Source organism: Homo sapiens, chromosome 20 (assembly GCF_000001405.40).
Source record: "Homo sapiens chromosome 20, GRCh38.p14 Primary Assembly".
NCBI classification, from domain to species: Eukaryota; Metazoa; Chordata; class Mammalia; order Primates; family Hominidae; genus Homo; species Homo sapiens.
The window spans coordinates 2,748,979-2,772,664 of NC_000020.11; the positions used below are offsets into that span (position 1 = coordinate 2,748,979).

At 53.6% G+C, this 23,686-nt stretch overlaps 1 protein-coding gene across 8 annotated transcripts in view, besides 7 other annotated features; it reads left to right on the plus strand.

Annotated features, from left to right (window-relative positions):
* Positions 1-11,130, plus strand: part of EBF4 (EBF family member 4) — a 67,329-nt gene extending 56,199 nt beyond the window's left edge. For 5 of the 8 annotated variants that reach the window (NM_001395167.1, NM_001395168.1, NM_001110514.2 and 2 more), the window contains 10 exons: positions 423-540; positions 642-775; positions 869-995; positions 2,722-2,810; positions 2,944-3,009; positions 3,108-3,285; positions 3,379-3,567; positions 6,649-6,846; positions 9,931-10,006; positions 10,290-11,130. In NM_001395167.1, coding sequence (NP_001382096.1) covers positions 423-540; positions 642-775; positions 869-995; positions 2,722-2,810; positions 2,944-3,009; positions 3,108-3,285; positions 3,379-3,567; positions 6,649-6,846; positions 9,931-10,001 — 1,170 coding nt within the window. In that variant the 3' untranslated portion in view covers positions 10,002-10,006; positions 10,290-11,130. Of the gene's footprint in view, positions 1-422; positions 541-641; positions 776-868; positions 996-2,721; positions 2,811-2,943; positions 3,010-3,107; positions 3,286-3,378; positions 3,568-6,648; positions 6,847-9,930; positions 10,007-10,289 lie in introns of those variants that run through there. The other 3 variants (NR_138537.2, XM_017027985.1, XM_047440335.1) reach the window with 3 other exon arrangements.
* Positions 1,329-1,468: a silencer, noted in NCBI's record as "fragment chr20:2730953-2731092 (GRCh37/hg19 assembly coordinates)". NCBI's record gives its function as "represses an EF-1alpha promoter that drives an FKBP-Casp9 reporter gene in an ReSE screen in HepG2 liver carcinoma cells {active_cell/tissue: HepG2}" and the evidence as "EXISTENCE:reporter gene assay evidence [ECO:0000049][PMID:32094911]".
* Positions 1,329-2,085: a biological region, named in NCBI's record as "H3K4me1 hESC enhancer GRCh37_chr20:2731029-2731709".
* Positions 1,405-2,085: an enhancer, noted in NCBI's record as "H3K4me1 hESC enhancer chr20:2731029-2731709 (GRCh37/hg19 assembly coordinates)". NCBI's record gives its function as "activates a minimal SCP1, AML or CMV promoter by ChIP-STARR-seq in naive H9 embryonic stem cells {active_cell/tissue: H9 hESC(naive)}" and the evidence as "EXISTENCE:reporter gene assay evidence [ECO:0000049][PMID:30033119]".
* Positions 2,154-2,665: an enhancer, noted in NCBI's record as "H3K4me1 hESC enhancer chr20:2731778-2732289 (GRCh37/hg19 assembly coordinates)". NCBI's record gives its function as "activates a minimal SCP1, AML or CMV promoter by ChIP-STARR-seq in naive H9 embryonic stem cells {active_cell/tissue: H9 hESC(naive)}" and the evidence as "EXISTENCE:reporter gene assay evidence [ECO:0000049][PMID:30033119]".
* Positions 3,247-3,426: a silencer, noted in NCBI's record as "silent region_12606". NCBI's record gives its function as "represses an Ori minimal core promoter by ATAC-STARR-seq in GM12878 lymphoblastoid cells {active_cell/tissue: GM12878}" and the evidence as "EXISTENCE:reporter gene assay evidence [ECO:0000049][PMID:35858748]".
* Positions 10,356-11,006: an enhancer, noted in NCBI's record as "H3K27ac-H3K4me1 hESC enhancer chr20:2739980-2740630 (GRCh37/hg19 assembly coordinates)". NCBI's record gives its function as "activates a minimal SCP1, AML or CMV promoter by ChIP-STARR-seq in primed H9 embryonic stem cells {active_cell/tissue: H9 hESC(primed)}" and the evidence as "EXISTENCE:reporter gene assay evidence [ECO:0000049][PMID:30033119]".
* Positions 22,905-23,199: a silencer, noted in NCBI's record as "tiled region #9456; HepG2 Repressive non-DNase unmatched - State 20:ReprD". NCBI's record gives its function as "represses a minimal TATA promoter and a strong SV40 promoter by Sharpr-MPRA in HepG2 cells {active_cell/tissue: HepG2}" and the evidence as "EXISTENCE:reporter gene assay evidence [ECO:0000049][PMID:27701403]".

Below are 23,686 nucleotides of genomic sequence, written 5' to 3' on the forward strand. Positions count from 1 at the left end.
GGAAGAAGGCAGCCCCAGTTTTCTCCCCAGAATAGGGCAGGGGCTCCTGCTGCTGAGTTCTCCGGCTGATGCTGCCCACCTCCACTTGCCTAAGACCCCATTCCTGGCTTGGAGGTCCGTGGATACAACCCAGCATTCTGTGTATGCAAAAACAGTAGCCATTCTTTGCCTAAGGAGCCAGTTTTTTCAGGGGTCTTTATTTTTGTAGCGCCTGGGGAGTCAGTTCATCTGGGGGTATCACCTGATCCAGCTGGCCCCCTTCCACCAGCTCAGACACTGCAGGATTGAAGCCCTCCTCCTCCCACCAGTGACCCTAAATTCCAGCATCCAACCACCAGCCTCAAGGTGCTGGTTCCCCACCACATTCCCCTCCCGGGAGCCCCCGAGGGCCCCAGCCAGGCTGGCCTCGGCTCTCCCCGCAGGTGGTGGTGTCCACGACGGTGAGCGTGGACGGACACGTGCTGGCCGTGTCCGACAACATGTTTGTGCACAACAACTCCAAGCATGGCCGCAGGGCGCGCCGCCTGGACCCCTCCGAAGGTCAGGACCCCCGGCCCAGCCCCGGCCGCCGCGGGCCCAGCCAGCCCCCCAGGCCCCACCTCAGCGCGGTCCCCTGACCTGGGTCCTCTCCTGCCTCCCAGCTGCCACCCCCTGCATCAAGGCCATCAGCCCCGGGGAGGGCTGGACCACGGGCGGCGCCACCGTCATTGTCATCGGCGACAACTTCTTCGACGGGTTGCAGGTCGTGTTCGGAAACGTGCTCGTGTGGAGCGAGGTGGGCCAACCCCGCCAGTCTCCCTCTGGGCCTAGGGGCTGGGCCCTCCCCTCGCCGGTGCGGGACCTGCAGGCCTCCCCTCTCCCCTCGCAGCTCATCACGCCCCACGCCATCCGGGTGCAGACGCCCCCGCGGCACATCCCCGGGGTGGTGGAGGTGACCCTCTCCTACAAGTCCAAGCAGTTTTGCAAGGGATGCCCCGGCCGCTTTGTCTACACAGGTAAGGAGTCGGGCGGGGGAGTGGAGGTCTAAGGTGCGCGGAGGGAGCCCCACCCTGCGCACTGGTCTCCGTTCTTGGTGATAGGAGTTAGCCGAGCTCTACGCTGTGGCCACGACCCCTAGACGGCCCCGGGCCCCTTTAACCACCTATGCCTGTGATCGCTCCGCTCGCAGGACCGTCTTTCCCTGGCTCTGTGTGTTTCCCTCCCTGGCCTCTGGCTCCTTAGTCCCTTCCCCGGGGCAAAGTCCCCCCCACAACCAACATTCTTACTCCCTCAGCCATCTCACCTCCTGAACATTGTGTCTCCCGCCCGCACTCTCCAGGGTTTAGAGCCTCTCCAAAGGGATGTTTATTCCAAAGATGCCAATGGGGTCGCTGCTCCCCGAATCTTCTCTGGGTCTCTTGGTTCCCCCACGCTACCCCAGGCCTCACTCTGCATGTACACGCACACACACGTGCGTACATACACACCCCTTGCACGACGCCAGGGCGAGCAGTGAACACACGTGGAGAGGCAGTGTAGAACCCCCCAGCCTGGCTCTATTTGGCCGCTGGCCGAGTCTTCTCCATTTCCATCCTCCCGCCCCGCCCCAGCTGAGCCACCCACTTCTCCTCTCCACCCCACCGCAGTCCCCACCATCGCGCAGCCCCCCGCACCGATGCTCATCGAGCCCTTCGAGGGACACTCGGTAGTGACCCTACTTAGCCTCCCCGGAGCTCCAGTCTAACGCGGAAAGGCTGAGCAGAGAACCGCATGGGGTGGGTGGGGTCACGCGGTCAAGGGGCTGACAATCAAGGAAAACCTTTGGTAGGGAGTGCCTGCTGAGCCCGGCTCAACCGAAACCCGAGGGCTGAGTGGGGAGGTTGACCTGGGGAAGGAAGGGTGGTTGCAGAAGGAATGATAAGGACCGATCCCCAGAAGTGAGTGCTTTCTCTTTGCCGGGAAACTAAAGGAAATCCACTAAGTCAGGATCAGAGGTGAAGGTAGGGCTCTGAGACTGGTGGATTAGGTCGGGGCCAGGCTATCTGAAAAGGGCGGTGCGGGGATCAGGAAAAGGGGAAGGAGGAGGAGAAGGGCGTGGGGAGCTGGGTCAGACGCGCATACACACACACACCCCTTGCACAACGCCAGGGTAAGCAGTGAACACAACACACGTGGAGATGCAATGTAGAATCTGGCCGCTGGCCGGATCTTCTCTACTTCCATCCTCCCGCCCCAGCCCAAGCCACCCACTTCTCCAGTTGCTTCCCTGGGGTGCATGCAAACCTCTAGCCTTCAGATGCTGCAGAGAGTCCACTTGAGCCGTGATAAATGGAGATTGTTAAGTTTTTTCTTTTTTATAATAAACTCCTGATTTGACCAGATGAAAAGAGAAAACTCTCCATCGAGTCCTGCCCTTAGGACTATAACTCATATGTGTATACGGTTTCCCTTTTTTCTAATCACAAATGGGTGCATGTGTGTTCATACCAAGCGCCTAGGGCCGAGGACAGAGGCTGGCTCAGTAAATATTTGTTGAGTAAACAAACGAAAGAACTGAAACTTCCCTGAATCTCGCTGCCGGGGGTGCCTGGAGTTTTCCGGGGGACTTGGGCTGGGCCTGGTGGAGGGGGCTGCAGCGAGGCTCTCGGACTGGGCGCTGGCCTGCTTTTGGCGCCCTGCGTCTCACCCTGGGAGTGGGGGGCTGCGGGGGAGACGTCCTCCAAACGCCGCCCCCTTCCCCAGCTCTGAACGAGCCCACCATTGACTACGGATTCCAGAGGCTACAGAAAGTCATTCCCAGACACCCCGGAGACCCCGAGAGGCTGCCCAAGGTACTCAGAGGGGCGGGGCGGGGCGGGGCTGAGGGTGTCCTGTGGGCAAGGGGGTGAGGAGGGGCTCCCGAGGGCCCCTTGGTCGCCCCCAGGGGCTGCCCCTCCGTCCCGCTGTCTCTCCCCCTGTCCCCAGGAAGTGCTGCTGAAGCGGGCGGCCGACTTGGCAGAAGCCCTGTACGGAGTGCCCGGCAGTAACCAGGTATGGCGCCTCCGCCCTCCCAGCGCCGCCGGGACCGGGGCCCCCCAGCACGCGGCGCCCGCGGCTGCCCCGGCCGTGCCCCGCTCTTGTCTTCGCAGGAGCTGCTCCTGAAGCGCGCGGCGGACGTGGCCGAGGCTCTGTACAGCACCCCCCGCGCACCCGGGCCGCTCGCACCCCTGGCCCCGAGCCACCCACACCCCGCCGTCGTGGGCATCAACGCCTTCAGCAGCCCGCTGGCCATCGCCGTCGGGGACGCCACCCCGGGGCCCGAGCCGGGTGCGTGGGCCGCGCCTCCCCGCCGTCCTCGGGCGCCGCCACCGCCCCTCCCCGGCCGGCACCGCCCCCTGACGGCCGCGCTCTCTCTCGCAGGCTACGCGCGCAGCTGCAGCAGCGCGTCCCCCCGCGGGTTCGCGCCCAGCCCCGGCTCGCAGCAGAGCGGCTACGGCGGCGGCCTCGGAGCTGGCCTGGGCGGCTACGGCGCGCCGGGCGTGGCCGGCCTCGGCGTGCCTGGGTCCCCCAGCTTCCTCAATGGCTCCACCGCCACCTCGCCCTTCGCCAGTGAGTGTCCCCCGCCCGCGAGGGAAGGTCTGGGGCCGGGGAGCGGAACGGGACTCAGCCCCGCCCCCGCCCATCCCGGAGAGGTTGGGGCGCCGGCGCCGTGAGAGTCGACCCTGGCTCAGCCCTCGGGGTCAGGCCCACCGTCCCCGCCTGGGACCTCCCCTGCCGCAGAACCTCAACCCCACCCCTAGGCTGCACATCCCGGGGTCCTGGGGCCAGAGTACTCCGTGCACTTTTAGCCTTCTTTGCCGGTCCGTTATGCACATCGCTTCTAGGCCTCCGGTCCCCCTGAAGTGGGCTCTAATGGGTGGCGGGCGTCCATCTGAAACCTGGGACACCGCCCCCTTCCCATCTCGCGCCCGGACTTGGGGAGGAGGCTGGCGCCGCCTGCCGGAAGCCTAAGGAAACTCAGGGCTCGAGGGAAGCCGGCTTCCAGCCGCCCCCCAGCTCCCAGGACTCCAGAGGCCAGGTGGGCGTGGGGAGGATGTGGTCCCCGCGATGTCGTCCGGCAGAGCGAGCGAGTTCTGTGTGATCAGACAGAATTTGAGTTTCAGTGTCCAAATCAGGAGCTGCCGGGCATTCAGCAAGTTACTTATTTGAACTTGTTTCCTCGCAGTCAAATAGGGTCAATTCCACCCCCTGCTTAAGGTTGATCTCGGATCTGAATGTGCCACTGTGCCTAAAGGGCCAGTGTGTGATTTCGGAGTCCCAGCCCTGACTGTGGGCGCTGACCACATCCCATCTGGCTTCTTAGAGTGGGGAGCTCAGAGCTGGGTGGACAGGCAATGTCTGCATGTCATGAGTGAGTGACCTTCCGAACGGCTTTGATGCCTTGTCATTTTACACTGCCCTCAAGACTCTTCCATCATCAAGTTCCAGATCAGCATGTTCACAGCTCTTTTTAGCTTAGCTATTCAGCAGGCATTTATAAAGCGCCCACTGTATGCAAAGCCCAGGGCTTGGGGGATCCCCCCACTCCTGTCACCTGCAAGAAGCCTCCCTATCAATCATAAGAGAGATTGTCCCTGAAGTCCCAGGCGACTCTGCCGAGCTGGAGAGGTGGTGAAGGCTGTCCCAGAAGGAACTGGTCATGGCTTTGCCCGTGGTGCCCTCTCCTCTCCCTGTCCCATATTTGCCATTGCCGAGACTGCACTGTCTGTCCACCAGCCTGGCTTTCCTTGCAGGGCGTGTGTCCTGCCTGCTTTCTGGCTGAAGGCTTGAGCCTGGCCCTGTCCTCTGGCCTGGGCTCAACTTCTGGGACCCAAGGCCCCATAAGCCAGAGTCCACATAGGCCATGGCCTTCTGGTGTCCCTCCCAAGGCCCCTGCCTCTCCTGGCTCTTTGCTCAGGCCAGGATTGACTGCTCCTCCTTCCCTTCAGTTCTGGGGCAGTACCCTCACAGCCTCTCTGTGGGCACCCCCTTGGGCCAACACTGGTGGGGGTATGGAACATCACATACACTGTGGTCAACAGTAGAGGAACACTCTGCCCCAGTGTGCAGAACCCAGCCCAGCTGGGGTCTTCTGATTCAGCAAGAAGATCAAGAATTCTAGAGCTGCTTAAACCCAGCATCAGCTGGAGACACACTGGACTTGAGGGAGGGTTGGTCCCATTTCATGATATTGTCTTGACCGAGGCTTACCCAGGTACCCTTCCACTCCCCACGTTCAGGGTGCTTTGTGGCCCGACTCCAAGGGGTGTCATTCTCATTGAGTTTGCGAGAACATTCCTGGAGTGACATCAGAACTGCCCCAGCCAGAGGCTCAGGGGCTGTTTGCTTGGGTCTCTCTTTGTTTTTCTGCTTCAGCCACCAGCAACCCTGGAATGAATCACAACTCCCCACACTACCTACCCAAGGTACAAAATGTGGCCGTGAGCCCTGGGCATTGAGAGCTATAGTACATTTTCTGGCATTGGTCTCAAGCCCTTCATCGGGCTCTGGGGCCTCTCCAGCTGGCAGTAACTGTTGTCTTAAAGGAGATGAGGCTGAGGGCATTTGGAAGAGGGGCAGCTGTTGAAGGCATTCTTGTATCAAGGGAGGTAGGAGGGCCCTCTGATGCCAAAGGCAGCCTTCTCAGGCTATTGCTTTCTTCCAGGAAGCCCCACCCACCCCACTGCCTGCTGCCTGGACAATACTCAGATCACAGCCTTACCAGTCTTTACAGGAGAGAGGCAGGGAATTGGGTTCAGATGAGGATGTAGAAAGGTGGGATCCAGCGATGCCCCAGGCCTGAGCCCCCAGGAGAGGAGGCTGCAGGAAGAGGGGGCAGGCAAAGTCTGTGTGCAGGAGGCTCCCTTGCCATTCCCAGGAGGGCAAGCCGCAGCCTGGGTGGCTAGGGAGTTTGAGAGCAGGAAGATCTGAGGATGTACATCCCTGCAATTTGCTTTAAAATTGACCAGCTGGAAGTGGGAGATTCAGGAGACCACCCCCCCCCACAGGGCCCAGGCTGGAGATGACAAGGACCTGCATTAAGCTGTAAGGAAACAAAGTACCCCAGGGTGCAGGGGGAAGTGGGAGAGGGACAGAGGAGCATAGGGAACATTGGCAAGGAGAGCATATTTGAGGAGGAAGTTGGAGTGCTGTTTGTGATGCTGGGCAGAGAGGCTTATAACAGGAGCCTGTGCGTTCCCCCAAACTTCATCCCTAACTACTTGTTCCAGCTCTTCTGTGACTCCTGAACTATGACTCTAGCCTTGGCACCCCAAGCAAGGCTCATAAATGTTTCCTAGCATCTCAGAATCCCAGGGGTTTTCAGCAGAAATCCTGAAGTAGTCCAGCTGTTGCTCATCTCATTTTTGGGGGGTACCTCCCACTGTTTGTTTTTTTTGAATGTTCTGGTTTTGCTTTTGTCTTTACCTGGTCTGGCCCTGTCATCCCCAGCCCCGAGAAAAGGTCTCCAGAACCGCTGAGAGGTCAGGGCTGGCCCAGGACCCTCACAGCTCCCAGTGAGATCTGAGCCTGGTACCTGTGTCAGCAGCCCATGTGGGGCCCCAGCCAAGCTGCTCACTCTGGTGCTGTCTCCCTGTTGTGTCTCCCACCACCTTCCCTGCTGCGCCTGCCCCTCCCCGCCCCGCCCCGGAGTCATGCCCTCTAGCCCCCCGCTGGCGGCTGCCTCCTCCATGTCCCTCCCGGCCGCTGCCCCCACCACCAGCGTGTTCTCCTTCTCGCCTGTCAACATGATCTCCGCCGTCAAACAGAGGAGCGCCTTCGCCCCCGTGCTGCGCCCCCCAAGCTCCCCACCCCAGGCCTGCCCCAGAGCCCACGGAGAGGGGCTTCCAGGTGAGTGATCCACCCTGCCTCACTGTGGCAGGAAGGAAGGGCCCTTGTGGAGCAGCTGGGCTACAGGGGCCTGCTCTGTCCACATCTCACCAGTGCCTCATGCTGGCTAACCTGCTCTTCTTGGAGGACGGAGAGCAGGGAGCTCTGCTGGGGTCCAGGGAGGTCCCTCTGGCCCCCTCTGCCCTGGCCTCCCAGCCTGGGATGGTCACCATTCTGGATGCTCTCAGTTGACCACTTGGCCAAGGGGAAGAGACTCAAATCACAGTTGATGAGGTCTAGAAACTACCCCAACACTCCATCCCCATCCAGCTGAGCCCAGAGCAAAGACCCTCAGAGCTGGTGGGCTGCACGCCTGTACCTGTGCCTCCCTGTGTCCACCAGAGGGTAGCACACACCACTGTGAGGGACTGGGTCGCTGACCATGGAAGGGGACTGACCTTAGAAGAGGCTTAGCCCAGCTTCCCTCCCCGCATTTTACAGATTAGGACTTGAGACCAAGTCATCTTCCCACATCCCATTCATGAAATGGCTGTTCTCTCACTTTACCCATGTGCAGCAGAACCTTTGAACCAGCAGAGCCTTTCCTATCCACGTGGTGATTGGAAACTCACTGGGAGGACAGAGGAAGGGACTGGCTGTGGAAAAGGAGGAGGCAACAGGATGTGGGTGGGGCAGAACAGGTCCTTGTTGATGGGGATGGTGGGGGCCAGGGCCAGTGTCTTCCCTAAGAGGCTTACAGGTGTTTTCTTTTCTGGCTAAGGGATGCTTCCACGGGATCCCCTAGGACTCAATCTGGCATGCAGCAGGTGTTTAATAAATAGTCAAATTATTGAATGAATATATGAGTCAGAAGGGCACCGTTCACACCCACACAGAAGGCTGCAGTGCAGTTTGTGGGGCACTGATCTGGAAGAGGTTGGGTTAGAGCACGTCCTATTGAGTATTCCCCAAGACAATAATGGGTCAGAGCAACAGAGCATTAGGAAAGAATCAGTGTTGAAATTACGTAAGTGGCTACTGAAGAATTTGTCAGAGCCTTTCATGTGCCAGGGTACGTTGTGAACCTTCTAGGAAACAGGAGATGCAAATTTATTTGAGCACAAAAATGTATTTTTCTAACAGCATCTTGAGATTAGTTCCTGGGGAATGACCTTGAGATGCAGGAAGAGACACCCTCATGGTTTCCTCAGCCTGATGTAGGGGCTGATCAGGCTGGGATGCCTATCACAAGAGCAAGGCCAGTGGCTTGGGCCCCAGAACCATCTCCAAATCCAAGGCAGGGGCAGGTGGGGCAGCCTCCAGGCTGAGACAGGGGAGGGGGCTGTGGAAAATGCTCTATGGAGCCTCTGTGCTCCAGGGTCCCTGTATGAGAGTCCGGGGACGCTGGAAAGAGGATGGGAAAGCTCAGGGCCTGGGAGAACAACTGAGGATGATACATGTCCGCAGCGTCCCACAGAATCGGCTACCCTGAGGGCAGTCAGAGCAACTAGGTGCAGCCCAGAAGCTTCTGAGAACTGTGCTGATGCCCTGCCCTGCACACAGAATGGGGTCCCTTCCCACCAGGGAACCCCCTCTGCACAGTTCAGGCAGGCCTGTGATGGTGACTCAAACAATAACAGACTTTTGTGCCAGGGAGGGCGGGAGGGCAAGGGGGCTGCTTGGTGACCCATCCAGAGGGTAGCCCATATTCAGGGAAGGACTTGCCCAAGCAAGGTTTGAAGAAGGCAGGGGTTCTTAGTGGGGGAGGAATGCCCTAGATAGAGTAGACCTTAGGCTGAAGGTATGTGGGTGGGAAGGCAGAGATTTGGAGCCCACGTTCAAAACATTAAGAACATAACATGGCCAGATGCAGTGGCTCACACGTGTAATCCTAGCACTTTGGCAGGCCGAGGTGGGCAGATCGCTTGAGATCAGGAGTTCAAGACCAGTCTGGGCAAGATGGCAAAACCTCGTCTCTAAAAAAAATAGAAAAATGAGCTGGGTGTGGTGGCGCATGCCTGTAGTCCCAGCTACTCGGGAGGCTGAGGTGGGAGGATCACTTGAGACTGGGAGGTCAAGGCTGCAGTAAGCTGAGATTGCACCATTGCACTCCAGTCTGTCTAGCCTGGACAAGAGAGCAAGACTCTGTCTCAGTAAATAAGTAAATAAATAAATAACATACAAATATATGCCAAAGATTTATTTAACTCATCAGTGAGGGAGCTAACAGGATGACAGAGCGGCTTAAAGGAGACAGTGAGAGACTGAAGCCAGTAAAACAAGGAGGGCTGGAATAAGATTGCTGGCTGCAAACTGCTTCTACAGAGCAATAAACTTGTAACCTTCCTCTGGGGACTGTCTTTTCTACCAATGAGAAGTCATCAGCCATTTCTCAGCCTCCTCCAAGTGAACATCCATCCAACCGAGCAAAGCCTGGGCCCTAGCCAGTAGCGTGAAGTCAAAAGACGTCACATGCCCCAGAATAAGATGACTCTTAAGATGGGCTTATTTGATAATGCTCTACGGTGGCTTTGAAAGGATACACAGTCACTTTTTTTGCCTTATTTCCAAGTTTTGGATAATTTTTCTTAGGTGTGTCTGGAGCTTAGAATGTGAAGGATGGAGAGAACAGAGGGTCACCAATTTCTCCTGCCAGCAAAGAGAACCATGGGAGGGGGTCAGGTAGGGGTGGGGAGTGGTGGAGTGACAAACTTCGTAGGTGTGGGAGGCACAGAGGATGCTGTTGTGGGTATGTCAGTCAGTATTCCTGGAGGCTGGCCTCTTTCCTTTTCTGCCCTGGTACATGGCCATGCGCTTGAGGAAGCAGATGGGCCCTCTGAAGGAGGCCACCCTGGGAGAAGGAGCCTGGGGTCGTCTCTCTCTTGAGGGAGGTAGGGAGCAAGGGCGTGGGCTGCATCCCCTGAGCATCTGAGAGGCACCCCTCACCCCGATCTGCAGTGCTGCCATGGGCCAGGGCTAGGGATGGCTGACTGCCTTCAGAAAGTGCTATATCCCCTGCCTGCTGTCTCCAGCCCAGAGAGTGACAGGCAGGTGGCTTCCCAGGTGGCACATGGCTTATGGCTCCTTTTTCCTTGACTACTGCAGACCAGTCTTTTGAGGATTCTGACAAGTTTCACTCTCCAGCCCGGGGGCTTCAGGGCCTGGCATACTCCTAATTACGGTAGGTCTCTGGCTGGGTCTGGCCTCCCCCGCCCCACCTGGCCCTGAGATGTGCTTGCTCTCTAAAGGCCTTCATCCTGTGCTCAAGCCTCCCCGCTAGCAGCCCCACAGGGATGGGGAGCTGGGGTCCAAGTCTTCCTCCCCGGGGCCCATCTAGACAGCTTTCTGAGGTACTTGGCCCACCCCAGTAACCCAAGCTGACCAGGTAGAGAGAAGTGGCTTCCTGTCCCCTGGCAGCCAGCCTTCCTCCCCGACCTTCTTCTCTCCCTCTCTCGCCCCACCAGGTCTGCAGCTGTTCCCATGGAGCCCGGACTGGAGGTCCCTCTGGGATTCACAGCCACACCCCGGATGGTGGCACAGACAGATGCAGGGCCAGGGCCATGGGCGGACCTCAACCCGTGAGCTGAACGGGGAGAGGCCTTCACCCCATGCTCAAGCCTCCCCGCTAGCAGCCCCACAGGCTTCTCTCGCCTCCCTGTCTTGGGGTAGTCAGAAGCCCCAGCACTGTGCAGATGCTCTTGGCAGGACAGCATCGCAGGGAGGTGCTGGGATTCTGGGCCTCACTGTCTGGGTCTTGGTTCCTCTGAAAGAGATGGATCTTGTGCAGACCAGGGTTGTTGAGTGAGGGGAGCGTGGGATGGGGACCGTGGGAAAGAGGACAGCTCAGGGAGAAGTGACCTGGAAAGGTCCTGTTTGCATCTGACCCATCTCAACTGGCCCAGCATCCCAACTTCTCTGCAGCGAAAGGGTGGCGCCCCGCAGCCTCGGGAGGCCTGCCCAGGCTCCCGTGGAGCTTCCAACAGCTGCTTGGCCCCGCAGCTGCCCCCACTTCCTTTGAGACCTGCACTCTCATGCTTGCCGCATCATGCCTCCCTGTGGGGGCTTTGGGCATGGAGGAGGCAGAAGAGGGGGTGCCAGGCCTCCTGTATTTGGGGTCTTCCCCCAGTGGATGTCTCATGGACTCTGGCCCCACACACTCACAATGACTCTGGCTGGCCCCACGCAGCGGGCCCAGCCGCCCCCCAGGTGGCCTCACATTCTGCTCTGCTAAGTTTGGAGAAAACAGAACAATAAACCAGATGCAGGTGGTGCCCGCCCGGCCTCTCACCTGCCTCCTTGGTGTGAGTTTGCTTTTCTTAGCAGTTCAGCAGCTCTAGGGGAGGCTCCAAACCCTGCCCCCGGGGAGCCCTCTTGCGCCTCGGGCTTTTTAAGCAGCCCCAGAGTTCGACTAAAGCAAGTATTCCCTGCCCCACGTCTGTTCTTGGGGACTGTTGGGGGAGGGGGAGCAGGCTAGCAGGCCTGAGCTCTGCCTGGGAGCATAATAGGGCCACTGAGGACTCAGCTGCCCAGCTCTCCAGTCAAGATCAAAGTGGTGGTTGTCAGGACATTGCTGAGAACCAGGACAGACCAAACCAAATATGACCCAGATGTCCAGAGGCTCAGAAATTAGATCCAATCCAACACAGAGGCTGCAGGGCCACGCCTGGGCTGGGTGGGGCAGCTTGTGGCTCCCAGGGCTGTTTATCTGAGCTGCACCCCAATCCCATCCCACGGCCCCCACCCCCAGGCCTAGGCACCTTACGGCTCACCTGCCTCAGAGTTTGGGTGGAAGGAGGGTAAGGAGGCAAGATTCCTATGCCCATTCGCTCCACCACCCACCCCTCTAGGATGAGTCCCAGTTGTCCCCCTGAGATATGTCCCCTGGATGATGGTCTGGCTGTCTGACCCTGAAAGCCACTTTTTTGACCCATGATCCGGTGAGCCCCGTGTCTAGCCCCAGGCCTCAGGCTTTCCTCTTTCTCTTCCTGGCCCTGCTCCTGGGCTCTGGCCTCTGGACACCCTGGCCCTTTCAACCCATGCGTCCATGACCTGCAAATGCAGCCTTCTGGACAGGCACACTTGCCAGGGCACATGGGCTGGTCCTGTCTTTCAGAGGCCTCTACTTCTTTCTCTGGTGTTCTTGGCTAGCACCTGGGATTCATCTCTCCTGGACACAGGGCAAGAGGTCATGCTGCCTTCTGGTCATCCTGTCCCATTCTCAGTGCTTGCGTGGCCTCCCACTCAGAGCACCAAAGCCTGCCTGCCCACGCCCTGCTTTATTTGGCTCTGAGCAGCTCCCATTGCCCAGGGCCCTCCCAGCTGAGGCCCTGCAAAGTTCTAATCTGCACTGGACACAGGTGATAACTGGATAGTGGTCACACTCTGGTTCCCAGGATGGGTCAGGTGCCATGGTGGATATAAATGAGACATGATGTCTGTCCCTAACAATCCCACAATGCTGCTCAAGCCACCATTTGAGTCCACACTGTCCTTTTCCTTCATCCACAGCAGACATAGCTAACCAGTTACCATGTTTGCAATGGCCTGGATTGTGCCTCCCTAAAATCCATATGTTGAAGCATTAACCTCCCATGTGACTGTATTGAGGATGGAGCCTTTAAGGAGGTGATTAAGGTTGGACGAGGTCATCAGAGTAGAGTCTTGATCCAATAGAAGTTGTGCTCTTATAAGAAGAGGAAGAGACACCAGAGTGCACTCTCTCTGTCAGGTAAGGACACAGAGAAGGCAGCCGTCTGCAAACCAGGAAGAGAGCCCTCACCAGGAATCAAATCAACTGGCACCTTGGCCTGTGACTTGCGGCCTCTAGGACTGTAAGAAAGCAAAATTCTGTGGTTTAAGCCACCCAGTCCATGGTATTTTGTTATGGTAGCCCAAGCAAACTAATACAACATTTTTTTTTCCATCTGTGAGCTGAGGGCTGCCTCCAGGAAATTAACCCTTTAGTGTTTCTGGCCTGCCCCTCCCCACTACATGGAGGAAAAATCACCAGTTAGGCTTTGTTGTAGAATATTGTCAGCAAATTCTGGGACAGTAATCCGAGATGATGTGGACAGGGCACCAAGAGCCTCTGCTATGCCACAAAACCACCGTGATGACAGAATCATTTTCAACGAAGCTACTGATCAGAGTTGTTATTTGAGATGAAAACTATTAGCCAAGTCAATATCACACCAGGCCTTCTTGTAGTCTATAATCAGTGAGGAGCAAGTCAAACTGCTGACCATGAGTCAGTACAAGACCGGCCCACCAGCAAACCGGGGCCTGTGTCTGGGTCTGTGGCACCTTCTGCAAAGCAACTGGGGCATCTTCTGGGCCTTGCAAATGGAACACCTTTCAGACTTCCCACATCCTGTAGTCAAAGAGGTTCCATTCTCAATAGCACCTGAGGATGACATTAAGCCAAGTGGCAGAAACTTGGCCTGGAGCTTACATAAATCTGTAGTGGAGACCCACTACCCAATAAATGCTATCAAATGACTAGGTCTTAGTTTAGCTCAGTCCTGAGGCCTTGCACACAAGTAGAATTGATTGGCTCATTGGCATTCATCCCTACAGAGCCTGGATATCCCAGGCAAGTGATGAAAATCCTAACCTTAGCTCCAATTCCTATGTGAATATTGGTCAGGGTGGGATCATTCGCCTGGAATGGAAGTTGTCTTCATTTCAGTTCCCCCAGCAGCAGACCTTGGGACAGGAGGTGGGTCCAGATGGTTTATTTGGGCAACAATTGCAGAACGCACCGGTCAGGGGAGCAGGGAGGGGAGGCAGCAGAAAGAAGGAAGCCCAATACAGAGTGCTACTGAGCACGCTACTACTGTGGGTTTTTCTGAAGCTTAATCCCAGCTGGGAGCTCTGGGAGGCTATAAAATGCATACCTCAGGAATTTCGCACCTGAGGAGTGAGGCAGCTGGGGTACTTATACACTAATTCTCATCAGTCAGTGGTTAGGGCTTCTGGATGGAGTGGGAGGGCAGCACTAGCTTTCTGGCACCTCCAGTCTTCCCCACAGGTGGTAAAACAGTCCCAGTAGCTAGAGAAAACACTCAGACAAAGAGAAGCAGGAGCTGACAGTTGGAATCAGACAGGAGTACACAGAGGAGGTACAGATGAGGGGATGTGGGTGGGGCACATACCTGGAGGTGGTCCCTGGCAGTCATCCAGGGGAAGATGGTTTTTTCTACTTAAAGTAAGTTTGGAGTAGGCATGGATTTTTCCTATATCTGCAGATCCCACCTCTACCTGGCACCAGGTGACAAAAACTGCCCAGGCTATTTCTTGTTGAAGTACCAAGATGCCAGGTGACAAAGGGGTCCCTCTCAGCGTCAGCCCACCCCCAGGCTTCTAATGGGGGTGGGAATAGAAAGGGCACCAGACGCTTGGCTGCTCACCGTTCAGAGAGAGTGCATCTCCAGTAAGTCCTCTGCTTTCCTCTTACAAATTTTTCCCAGCAGAACCAGGCTGCTACACTTTGCATCTGACCCTGGGGACCAGAGAGCTTCTGGGGCTACATTTTGGCTCAGACAGGACCCGCTATAGACAGGTCTCACTGGCTCAAGAGAAGCCAGGCAGCAGCTTTGACCAGCCCTCTGCTGACTATTCTGCAAAATAGCATTCTCCCTGCCCCCTCCCCATATTGGCAGAGCCTTTTAACTTCTTCCAAAAAGAAAAATCCCCTAGAGAAATGGAAACTGCTGCGCAGTGTGGAAAGGATGGTCTTTTAAAAATATGACGTTAGAGCCCAGGCAGCTATTTGGGAGGCTGAGGCAGGAGGATTGCTTGAGCCCAGGGGTTTGAGGCCAGCCTGGGCAACAAGTGAGACCCCCATCTCTCAAAAAAGAAAATGGTGTTGGGTTAATTGGATAGCCATATGCAAAAATTACATTTGGCCTCTACCTCACACCATACACAAAAATCAATTTCAGGTGGATTGTGGATGGAACTGTGAAACCTAAAGCAATAAATCTTTACGCCCCTGAAGATAGACTAGAAGCTTTTTGCCAGAGTGATATCCAAGGTCTGTTTTTCTACCCATGTGACCAACTTTGGAATGAAGCAAGCACTGGACATATTTGAAATGGTTCAAATGGACCCTAAAGTCTCTTTTCACTTCTCTAGGAGAACTTTTCCAAATAGGAAAAAGTTCACAGTTCACAGTGTCTTTCTACCCGAGGAGAGACTAGGTCTTCATGGTTAGTGATTTCCCAAAGCTCTTAACTGCTTATCCTGGGCCAGCCGCCTTCCCCACCCTGTCCACAGCTCCCTCCTCTGCTACCACCTCAGTGGTAGTAACAACACTCACTGGGTGATGGAAGGGAATGGGTCACCTCCTTGGAGCCACCAGCCTAGAAGTTGGCCGTTCACAAGAAGACCTTCACTGTGAGAGTCCTGATGGGGGCGAGGCATCGACCACAAATATGGACCTAGCATCCTCTTATCACTTCTCCCATGCTCCCCTTCTCTTCACTCTTACTAAGAGGTGTGTGTGTGTGTGTGTGTGTGTGTGTGTCAGGGTTTCACTCTGTCACCCAGGCTGGAGTGCAATGGCACAATCATAGCTCACTCCTGGGTTCAAGCAACCCTCCTGCCTCAGCCACTTGAGTAGTTGGGACTACAGGTACCACACCCAGCTAATTTTTTAGGGGGTAAGAGATGGAGGTCTCACTATATTGCCCAGACTGGTCTCAAACTCCTGGGTTCAAGTGATCCTCCTGCCTCAGACTCCCACAGTGCTGGTATTACAGGCGTAAGCCACCACGCCTGCCTTCATTATGAGATTTTCTTTTTCTTTTCTTTTCTTTTTTTTTTTTTTTTTTTTTGAGACAGGGTCTTGCTCTGTCACCTAGGCTGGAGCGCAGTGGCACAATCACAGCTCACTGCAGCCTCAGCCTCCTGGCTCAAGTGATCCTCCCGCTTCAGCCCCCAGAGTAGCTGGGACCACAGTCACGTACCACCACGCTAGGCTAATTTTTGGGTGTGTGTTTTGTAGAGACAAGTTTCTCCATGTTGCCCAGGTTGGTCTCAAACTCCTGGGCTCAAATAATCCACCTGCCTCAGCCTCCCAAAGTGCTGGGATTATAGTTGTGAGCCACACACCCGGCCATTAGATTTTTGATAACCAGAATGTCTTAATTGAATGTAGTCTAAGTTATTAATCTTTTCTTTATGATTAGCGTTTCTCGTATGCTTTTAATTTATGTATTATTTTGCTTCACGCTTCACCTCCCCTTTTGTGTGCTTTTAAACAAATCTTCTGCCAGGTGCGGTGGCTCACACCTGTAATCCTAGCACTCTGGGAGGCCAAGGTGGGCGGATCACCTGAGGTCAGGAGTTCAAGACCAGCCTGGCCAACATAATGAAACCCCGTCTACCCCGTCTCTGCTAAAAATACAAAAATTAGTCGGGCATGGTGGCGCATGCCCGTAGTCCCAGCTACTCAGGAGGCTGAGGCAAGAGAATCACTTGAACCCAGGAGGCAGAGGTTGCAGTAAGCTGAGATCACGCCATAGCCTGGGCAACAGAATGAGACCCCATCTCAAAAAAATTAATTGATTAATTAAATGAAATTAAAATAAAATAAATTTTAAAATCTTCACTTACACCAAAGTCAAGAAGATATTTTAGAATTTTTCTTGTTTGTGGCTTTTATATTTAGGTCCACAATCCAACTAAAATTTATTTTTGTGTACAGTGTAAGCTAGAGATCAAATTTAATTTTTTTTCATATGGTTAGCCAATTGGCCCAGCACCATTTACTGAAATGAGTATATTTTCCCCCACTTCATTGAAGTGAAATCTTTGTTATAAATCAAATGTTCATATATGTATGTGTCTGTCCTGGATTCTCTATTCTGATCCATTTGTCTTTTTATCTAGCCTTATACCCGTGCCACATTATCTTAATAACTTTAGATTTATAGTATGTTTTGCTATGTAGTATGTATGGCAAGTCATCCAATTTAATTCTTCCTTTCAAATTTTTTTATTTTTATTTTTATTTTTTTATAGAAATAGGGCCTCACTATGTTACCCAGGCTGGTCTTGAACTTCTGGCCTGAAGTGATCCTCCTGCCTTAGCCTCCCAAAGTGCTCGTATTACAGGCTTGAACCACTACACCCGGCCTGTTCAACTTAGTTCTTCACAATTATGTTGGCTACATGTGGTCCTTTTCATTTCAATACAAATTTTATACTCAGTTTATTAATTTCTATTTTTTAAACTGGCAGGCAGATTGCCTGAGCTCAGGAGTTCAAGACCAGCCTGGGCAACACAGTGAAACCCCATCTCTACTAAAATGCAAAAAATTAGCCAGGCATGGTGGCATGCGCCTGTAGTCCCAGCTACTCAGGAGGCTGAGGCAGGAGAATTTCTTGAACCCTAGAGGCAGAGGTTGCAGTGAGCCAAGATCACACCACTGCACTATAGCCTGGGCAACAGAGCAAGACTCCATCTCCCAAAAAAAAACACAAAAAAACCTGCTGGATTTTCATTGGGATTACATTAAATTTACAGACTAATTAATGGAGAATTGATGTCTTTAAAATATTGTGTGTTTCAATCTATGAATATTGTATATCCCTCCATTTATTTAGATCTTTTAAGACTTCTCTTAATAATGTTTTATAGACTTCTGTATGAAAGTTTTGCACCTATTTCATTTATTTCTATTTGATTATTTTGTGATATTATAAATAGTATCATTTTCTTAATTTTATTTGTTGTGAATATATAGAAACAATGGATTTTTGTATAATTACCTTGTATCCAGCAATCTTGCTTAGCCACTTATCCTTAGATTATCTTGAATTTTCTTAGCTACATAGTTATGTCATCTGCAAAAAAAGGACAGTTTCATTTCTTCACTTGCAGTCCTTACTTTTTTATTTTTACTTATTTTTCTTGCTTAAATGCACTGGCTGCAACCTCCAATACAATGTTGAATAGAAGTAGTGAGAGTGGACATCTTTGTTTTGCTCCTGATTCTGGAGGGCAAACTTTTAATATTCCATCATTAAGCATCGTATTTGGTTTATAGATATCCTTCTATTCCTAATTTTCTAAAAATGTTTAAAAATTATAAATAGATGCCAAAATTTGTGAAATATTTTTCTTCATGTATTAAGTAATCAAATTACTTTCTCCATTATTTCGTTAATGTGCTGAATTATATTAATTACATGTCTAATTTTAAGCCACTGCTTTAGCTAATTGTATGTTTAATTGTAAATGGCCATATATTCTTTTTTTTTTTTTTTTGAGTGCAATGGCACGATCTCAGCTCACTGCAACCTCCCCTCCCTGGTTCAAGTGATTCTCTCGCCTCAGCCTCCTAAGTAGCTGGGATTACAGGCTCACACCACCATGCCTGGCTAATTTTTGTATTTTTAGTACAGATGAGCTTTCACCATGTTGGCCAGGCTGGTCTGGAACCCCTGACCTCAAGTGATCTGCTCTCCTTGGCCTCCGAAAGTGCTGGGATTACAGGCATGAGCCACCATGCCTGGCCTTATTCTTTATACAGGGTATACCAATTATTAACACAGAGCCCATTTTCTCTTTCTCTCTCTGCACTACTCTCTAAGAAGGCACTCACTGGCCCTCGCCCTTACCCGCTTCTCCTGGAGGAGCTAGGCTTTCTGCAGACCACCTCGGTACCTCACACTGCTACACTGGCTTTGGCTACCTTCTAGGAGCAGTGGAGGGAAAAACACAAGAACAAACACAAATTAATCTCTCACTAAGTCATTCTACTTTGACTCTAACCCATCTTTTACCATTCTATTCTAACCATTAAGATTCAAACCCAGCTGGGCTCCTTAGCTCTGGGTCCCCTCTGTTGGAAATCCAGAACAGTCCTCGTGAGTCCTCTGTTCAGGAGCCCCTGACCACTCACTTCCAAAGGTGAAGATACTCAAAGCTTCCCTCCTTGCCTCACCTTGGCAGGGGGTCACAGAGTGGCAGCCTCAGGAGGGTGGGAGGTCCTGGGTTTGAAGCTGCAGAGACTGCCAAGCAGAATGGGTAGGAGGGTCTCAGAGACCCCCACTGGAGACAGAACGGAAGAGAATTCATGGCTCTAAAGATGCAGGAGAGGCTGCCTAGCAGGGCAGGAACAGCAACAAGACGGTTTTATTTGTATACATTCCTTTTTGAGTATTTTATTCCTTGAGAGAGAAGGCGCCAAGTGTTTATGGGGGAAGGAAAGCTGGCCGTCCAGTAGCAGATTTGCTGTTCCCTGGGGCTCAGCATCCCAGCATCTTCATTCTCCAAAGCCTCTCCTGCCCCTCCCCTGCCAGCCTGGGAGCGAGCGCTGCCCTGATGCACCCTCATCTGGTGGGGTGTGAGGAGGAGGCTCGGGCTAGGCTGCCGCAGCTCCGGGCAGTCATCCCATGAGTCCAGTTCCTGAAGGGCTGATTCGTGTAGGGCAGAAAAACCCTCTGGCTTGGCTCCTGCCCCTGCTGCCTCTCTGGGGGTTCCACCCATGTAGGAGCCTGCCCCCTCCACGCACCCACCCGCTCACCCAGAACTGAGTTCACCTTTAGGTGGGTGGGGGAGGCTCCAGCCACTCTCAGGCTGGCACTGCCTCAAGCCCAGCCAGCGCTGGCTTCTGTGGTGAAAGCTGGTTTGTCTGGGCTGCTCCCCAGGGCCTTCCTGGAGCTGGGCCTGGAGGCTGACCTTGCCAAGACAAACTGTGGCTGCCGGTGGAATGTGGTCGAGTGGCTGAGCAGGCCCAAACCTGGCAGGTCTGTCCATGGTGCCCCTGCAGGTTCCACAACACAGAGCCCTACAGAGTCAGGTGGGGCCAGGAGCAGGTACCGAGAGACTTCTGGGCATCTCTCTGTCCCTTGTTGAGTGAGGACGGGGCAGCATCTCTTTTGGTCTCAACTGAAAGTGTAAAAGGCTATCATCAAGTGTGAAGGTTGACAGAATTCCTCAACCCACTTCCTCTGGGAAGCAGCTGTGCAGGAGAAGACATGGTGGGGAGGGGGTGCGGGGAGGAGTGTGTGCCTGTGTGGGTGTGGGCATAAAGCAGGAGCTGCCAGGGGAGGAGAAAGAGCTCTGGCAAGACCTCTTCTTCCCTTAACACAGCCCGGTGGGATGGGGCTACGTTGCTGTTAGAGCCAGAGTTTAATTTTTTTTTTTTTGAGACAGGGTCTTGTTCTGTTGCCCAGGTTGGAGTACAGTGGCACTGTCTCAGCTCACTGCCGCCTCGACCTCCTGAGCTCAAGCAATCCTACCTCAGCCTCCTGAGTAGCTGGGACTACAGGCATGTGCCACCATACCCGACTAATTTTTCTATTTTTTGTAGAGACAGGGGTCTCACTATGTTGCCCAGGATAGTCTTGAACTCCTGCCCTCAAGCAATCCTCCTACCTCTGCCTCCCAAAGTGCTGAGATTACAGATGTGAGCCACTGTGTCCAGCCAGATCCACAATTTGTTCAGCCCATACCATCAGCCCATTATTTTAGCGGGGGTTCCCTGGACGCAGAGCCTGAAATGGGGATTTGTGTGCACATGAAAGGGCTCTCTGGACAAAAAGGAGAGAAGAAAGCAGAACAGGGTAGGGGAAAGAGCTGGGCAAGTCTCTGCAGGAGGCTAGCACAGTCCCACGCGGAGCCTAAGCATGAAGGGCACCTCAGTTGGACCCTGCCATGACAAGGAGATGCCTCTAATATCCCTGAGCCTGTCAGCCACTGGTTGGAGGCTGCCAGAGGAGAGTGGAGAGTGAAACCTCCTGGGCAAAGCAGCTCCCATTTGGCCAAGGACAATACTTGGGAGAAGGGGGCAGCTGTGAGCTGTCAGCAGCCAACACTCACCCCAGTTGGGGATGAGCACACTGGCTGGTAAGGATCTGGTGGAACTCTAAGAGCCTCCACTGCACCCCTCTACCTAGTAAATCCGAGACCAGGAGCGACGCCCGTCTTTATACCAGCCCTACTTCTTGGGTGGCAAGGACTCCCCTTCTGTTTCAAGTAGGGCTTATAGGGAATGTCCTGGGCCATTGACAAACAAAGGGCAGGAATCCACTCAGGGAGATCAGGTGATGCTCAACAGAGCTGTGCAGCAGAGGTGGACACACACAGCAAGCACGCAGTTGACTCAATCATAGTCACTGCTTGGGAGGGCCATAGGTGCTGTCCACATCAGCTCTGCTGGCTCGGGACACCCATCATTGCCTTGGATGTCTCTAAAAGCTGACTCGCTCTTCTGCCTGTCCTCCCACCTACCCCCTACCCAGGCTGAACCCCATTTCCCTTCTCTTCTACCTCCCAGATCAGTGACGCTGAGCCAGTCCCTAAGGTAGGGTGAGGGCTGGCAGTCTTGCTGTTGCTCTAGTCTCTTTCCAAGATATCGCCTTGGCATCTGCTCCTGCTTCCCTGTGGCCTTCCATTTTCATACTCAAGAGTCTGTTTCCAGGCCAGGTGCGGTGGCTCATGCCTATAATCCCATCACTTTGGGAGGCCGAGGCGGGCTGATCACTTGAGGTCAGGAGTTGGAAACCAGCCTGGCCAACATGGTGAAACCCCATCTCTACTAAAAATAAAAAACTATTAGCCGGGCGGGGTGGGGCGTGCCTGTAATCCCACCTACTTGGGAGGCTGAGGCAGGAGAACTGCTTGAACCCGGTAGGCGGAGGTTGCAGTGAGTCGAGATCACGCCACTGCACTCCAGCCTCGGTGACAGAGCAAGACTCTGTCTCCAAAACAAAACAAAACAAAACAAAACACAAACAAAAACAAAAAAAAGGAGTCTGTTTCCCAAACAAAACAAAAACTCTGAGTCTGCTCTGTTTCTCCCTCTGCAATGCCCGGCAGCAACACTAATTTCCCTTAGGCAATAGGGACACTACTGACTAAGTAGGGGAAGCTCACAGAAATTAGAACAAAGTGGCGAAGGGAAGTCCAAGGGACTCAATCCAGTGCCCAGAGAGGAAGGACAGCAGTGTCCTCTGGGAGGGTGAGCCCCAGAAAGAGGCACCCCACTGGAAATATGACAGGAGGTGGAGGAAGCTGAAGAGAAAAGAAAACGTGTGAAAAGCACCTCATGCTCCAAAGACAAACAAAACAAGAAAAGTAGAGACTTCCCAGAAGATGGAATGATGTAGGTTTGCCATTTCTTCTGCTAAGTCTAATTTAAAACCCTGGATGGCTCACGCCTGTAATCCCAACACTTTGGGAGGCCCAAGTAGGAGGATCACTTGAAGCCAGGAGTTCGAGACCAGCCAGTGCAACATAGTGAGACCACCTGACTCTACAAAAGAAAAATTAGCCAGGCGCAGTAGTGCGCACCTGTAGTCCCAGCTACTCGGGACTGAGGCTGGAGGATGGCTTGAGGCCAAGAGTTTGAGGTTATAGTAGCACCACTGCACTCCAGCCTGAGCAACAGCGAGACCTTGTTGCTTAAAAAAATAAATAAATAAAAATGAAAAATAAAACCCTGGACATTATATATAAAACAAGCATAAACAGATTCTGGGGGGAGAAAAGGGTTCTGAATGGGGGAGAAAAAGAGGCAGATGATTTAGAGGCCTCTGCACCCCAGGAAAGACATGGCAGAGAATCCCCTGGGTTTTCTTTCTGTTCCACATATCCTAGATTTGGAACTTAAGAAACTGGCAACACAGCAATGCCATGGCATGCCAAAAAATAAAAAAAAGCTCCAATAAAAACCTGCTCCTCTAGCCAAAGGACCAAGTGAACAGCAACCTAGTAAGGCTGAAACCGAGACACAAAAACCACTTTACTTCAGCCAAGCCCCACAGAATAAACTGAGACCCCACCTACATCCGCACAGCAAAGGCGCAGTGGGGAGCCTAAATTCCACCCTCCCAAGGCTGCAGTGAGGTTCCCCAACGACCATCACCAGAGCAGTGCCAGTGAAGACCGGGCAGAGAGTTGAGCCATCCATCTGTGTCAGCCAGCAAAGGGGCCTCCTCCGTGCTCCACGGTATCACTAGCACCACCACCACGCTGGGAACCACGTGAAGAACCTGGATTTCCGGCCTGTACTCCCCAGTAAAGAGGCGCCTCTCCCGCTTCCTGCTGAGATGTGTCACAGGAAGCCTTGTGGAGAGTCAGGATTTTCGCCATGGCCCAGAGCAATTTATTAGACCACCTACCCTGCCTCTTCGCCCTCCAGCGGTGGTGTCAGTGGAGATCACAACTGGAGTCAGACTTCCCACCTTTGCCCATCAGTAAAAAGGAGCACCTGCCCCCTACAGGTGTCAATATAGGTCATTTTTTACTCCCACCTGGCAGGGAAGACCCGACCTCACCCCTCCCGACCCTGCCTTGCCCTGCCAGACAGATAGGTGTCAGAAAAAAGTCAGCTAAAACATAAAGTTTATATTTATCTATTCATATTTTTCAATTTTATTTTTAAAGAGACAGGGTCTTGCTCTGTCATCCAAGCTGGAGTGCAGTGGCATGATCACAACTCGCTGCAGCCTTGAACTCCTGGGCTCAAGCAATCCTCTCCACTCAGCATCCCAAGTAGCTGGGACTACAGGCATGCACCACCACGCCTGGCTAAAACATAAAGTTTAAATAAGATCCAGAGTCTGGTAACACAATACAAAAAGGTCCAAATTTCAGGCCGGGCGCAGTGACTCATGCCTGTAATCCCAGCACTTTGGGAGGCCGAGGCGGGCGGATCACCTGAGGTTGGGAGTTCGAGACCAGCCTGACCAACATGGAGAAACCCCGTCTCTACCAAAAATACAAAAATAGCTGGGCGTGGTGACTCATGCCTGTAATCCCAGCTACTTGGGAGGCAGAGGCAGAAGAATCACTTGAACCCAGGAGGTGGAGGTTTTGGTGAGCCGAGATGGCGCCATTGCACTC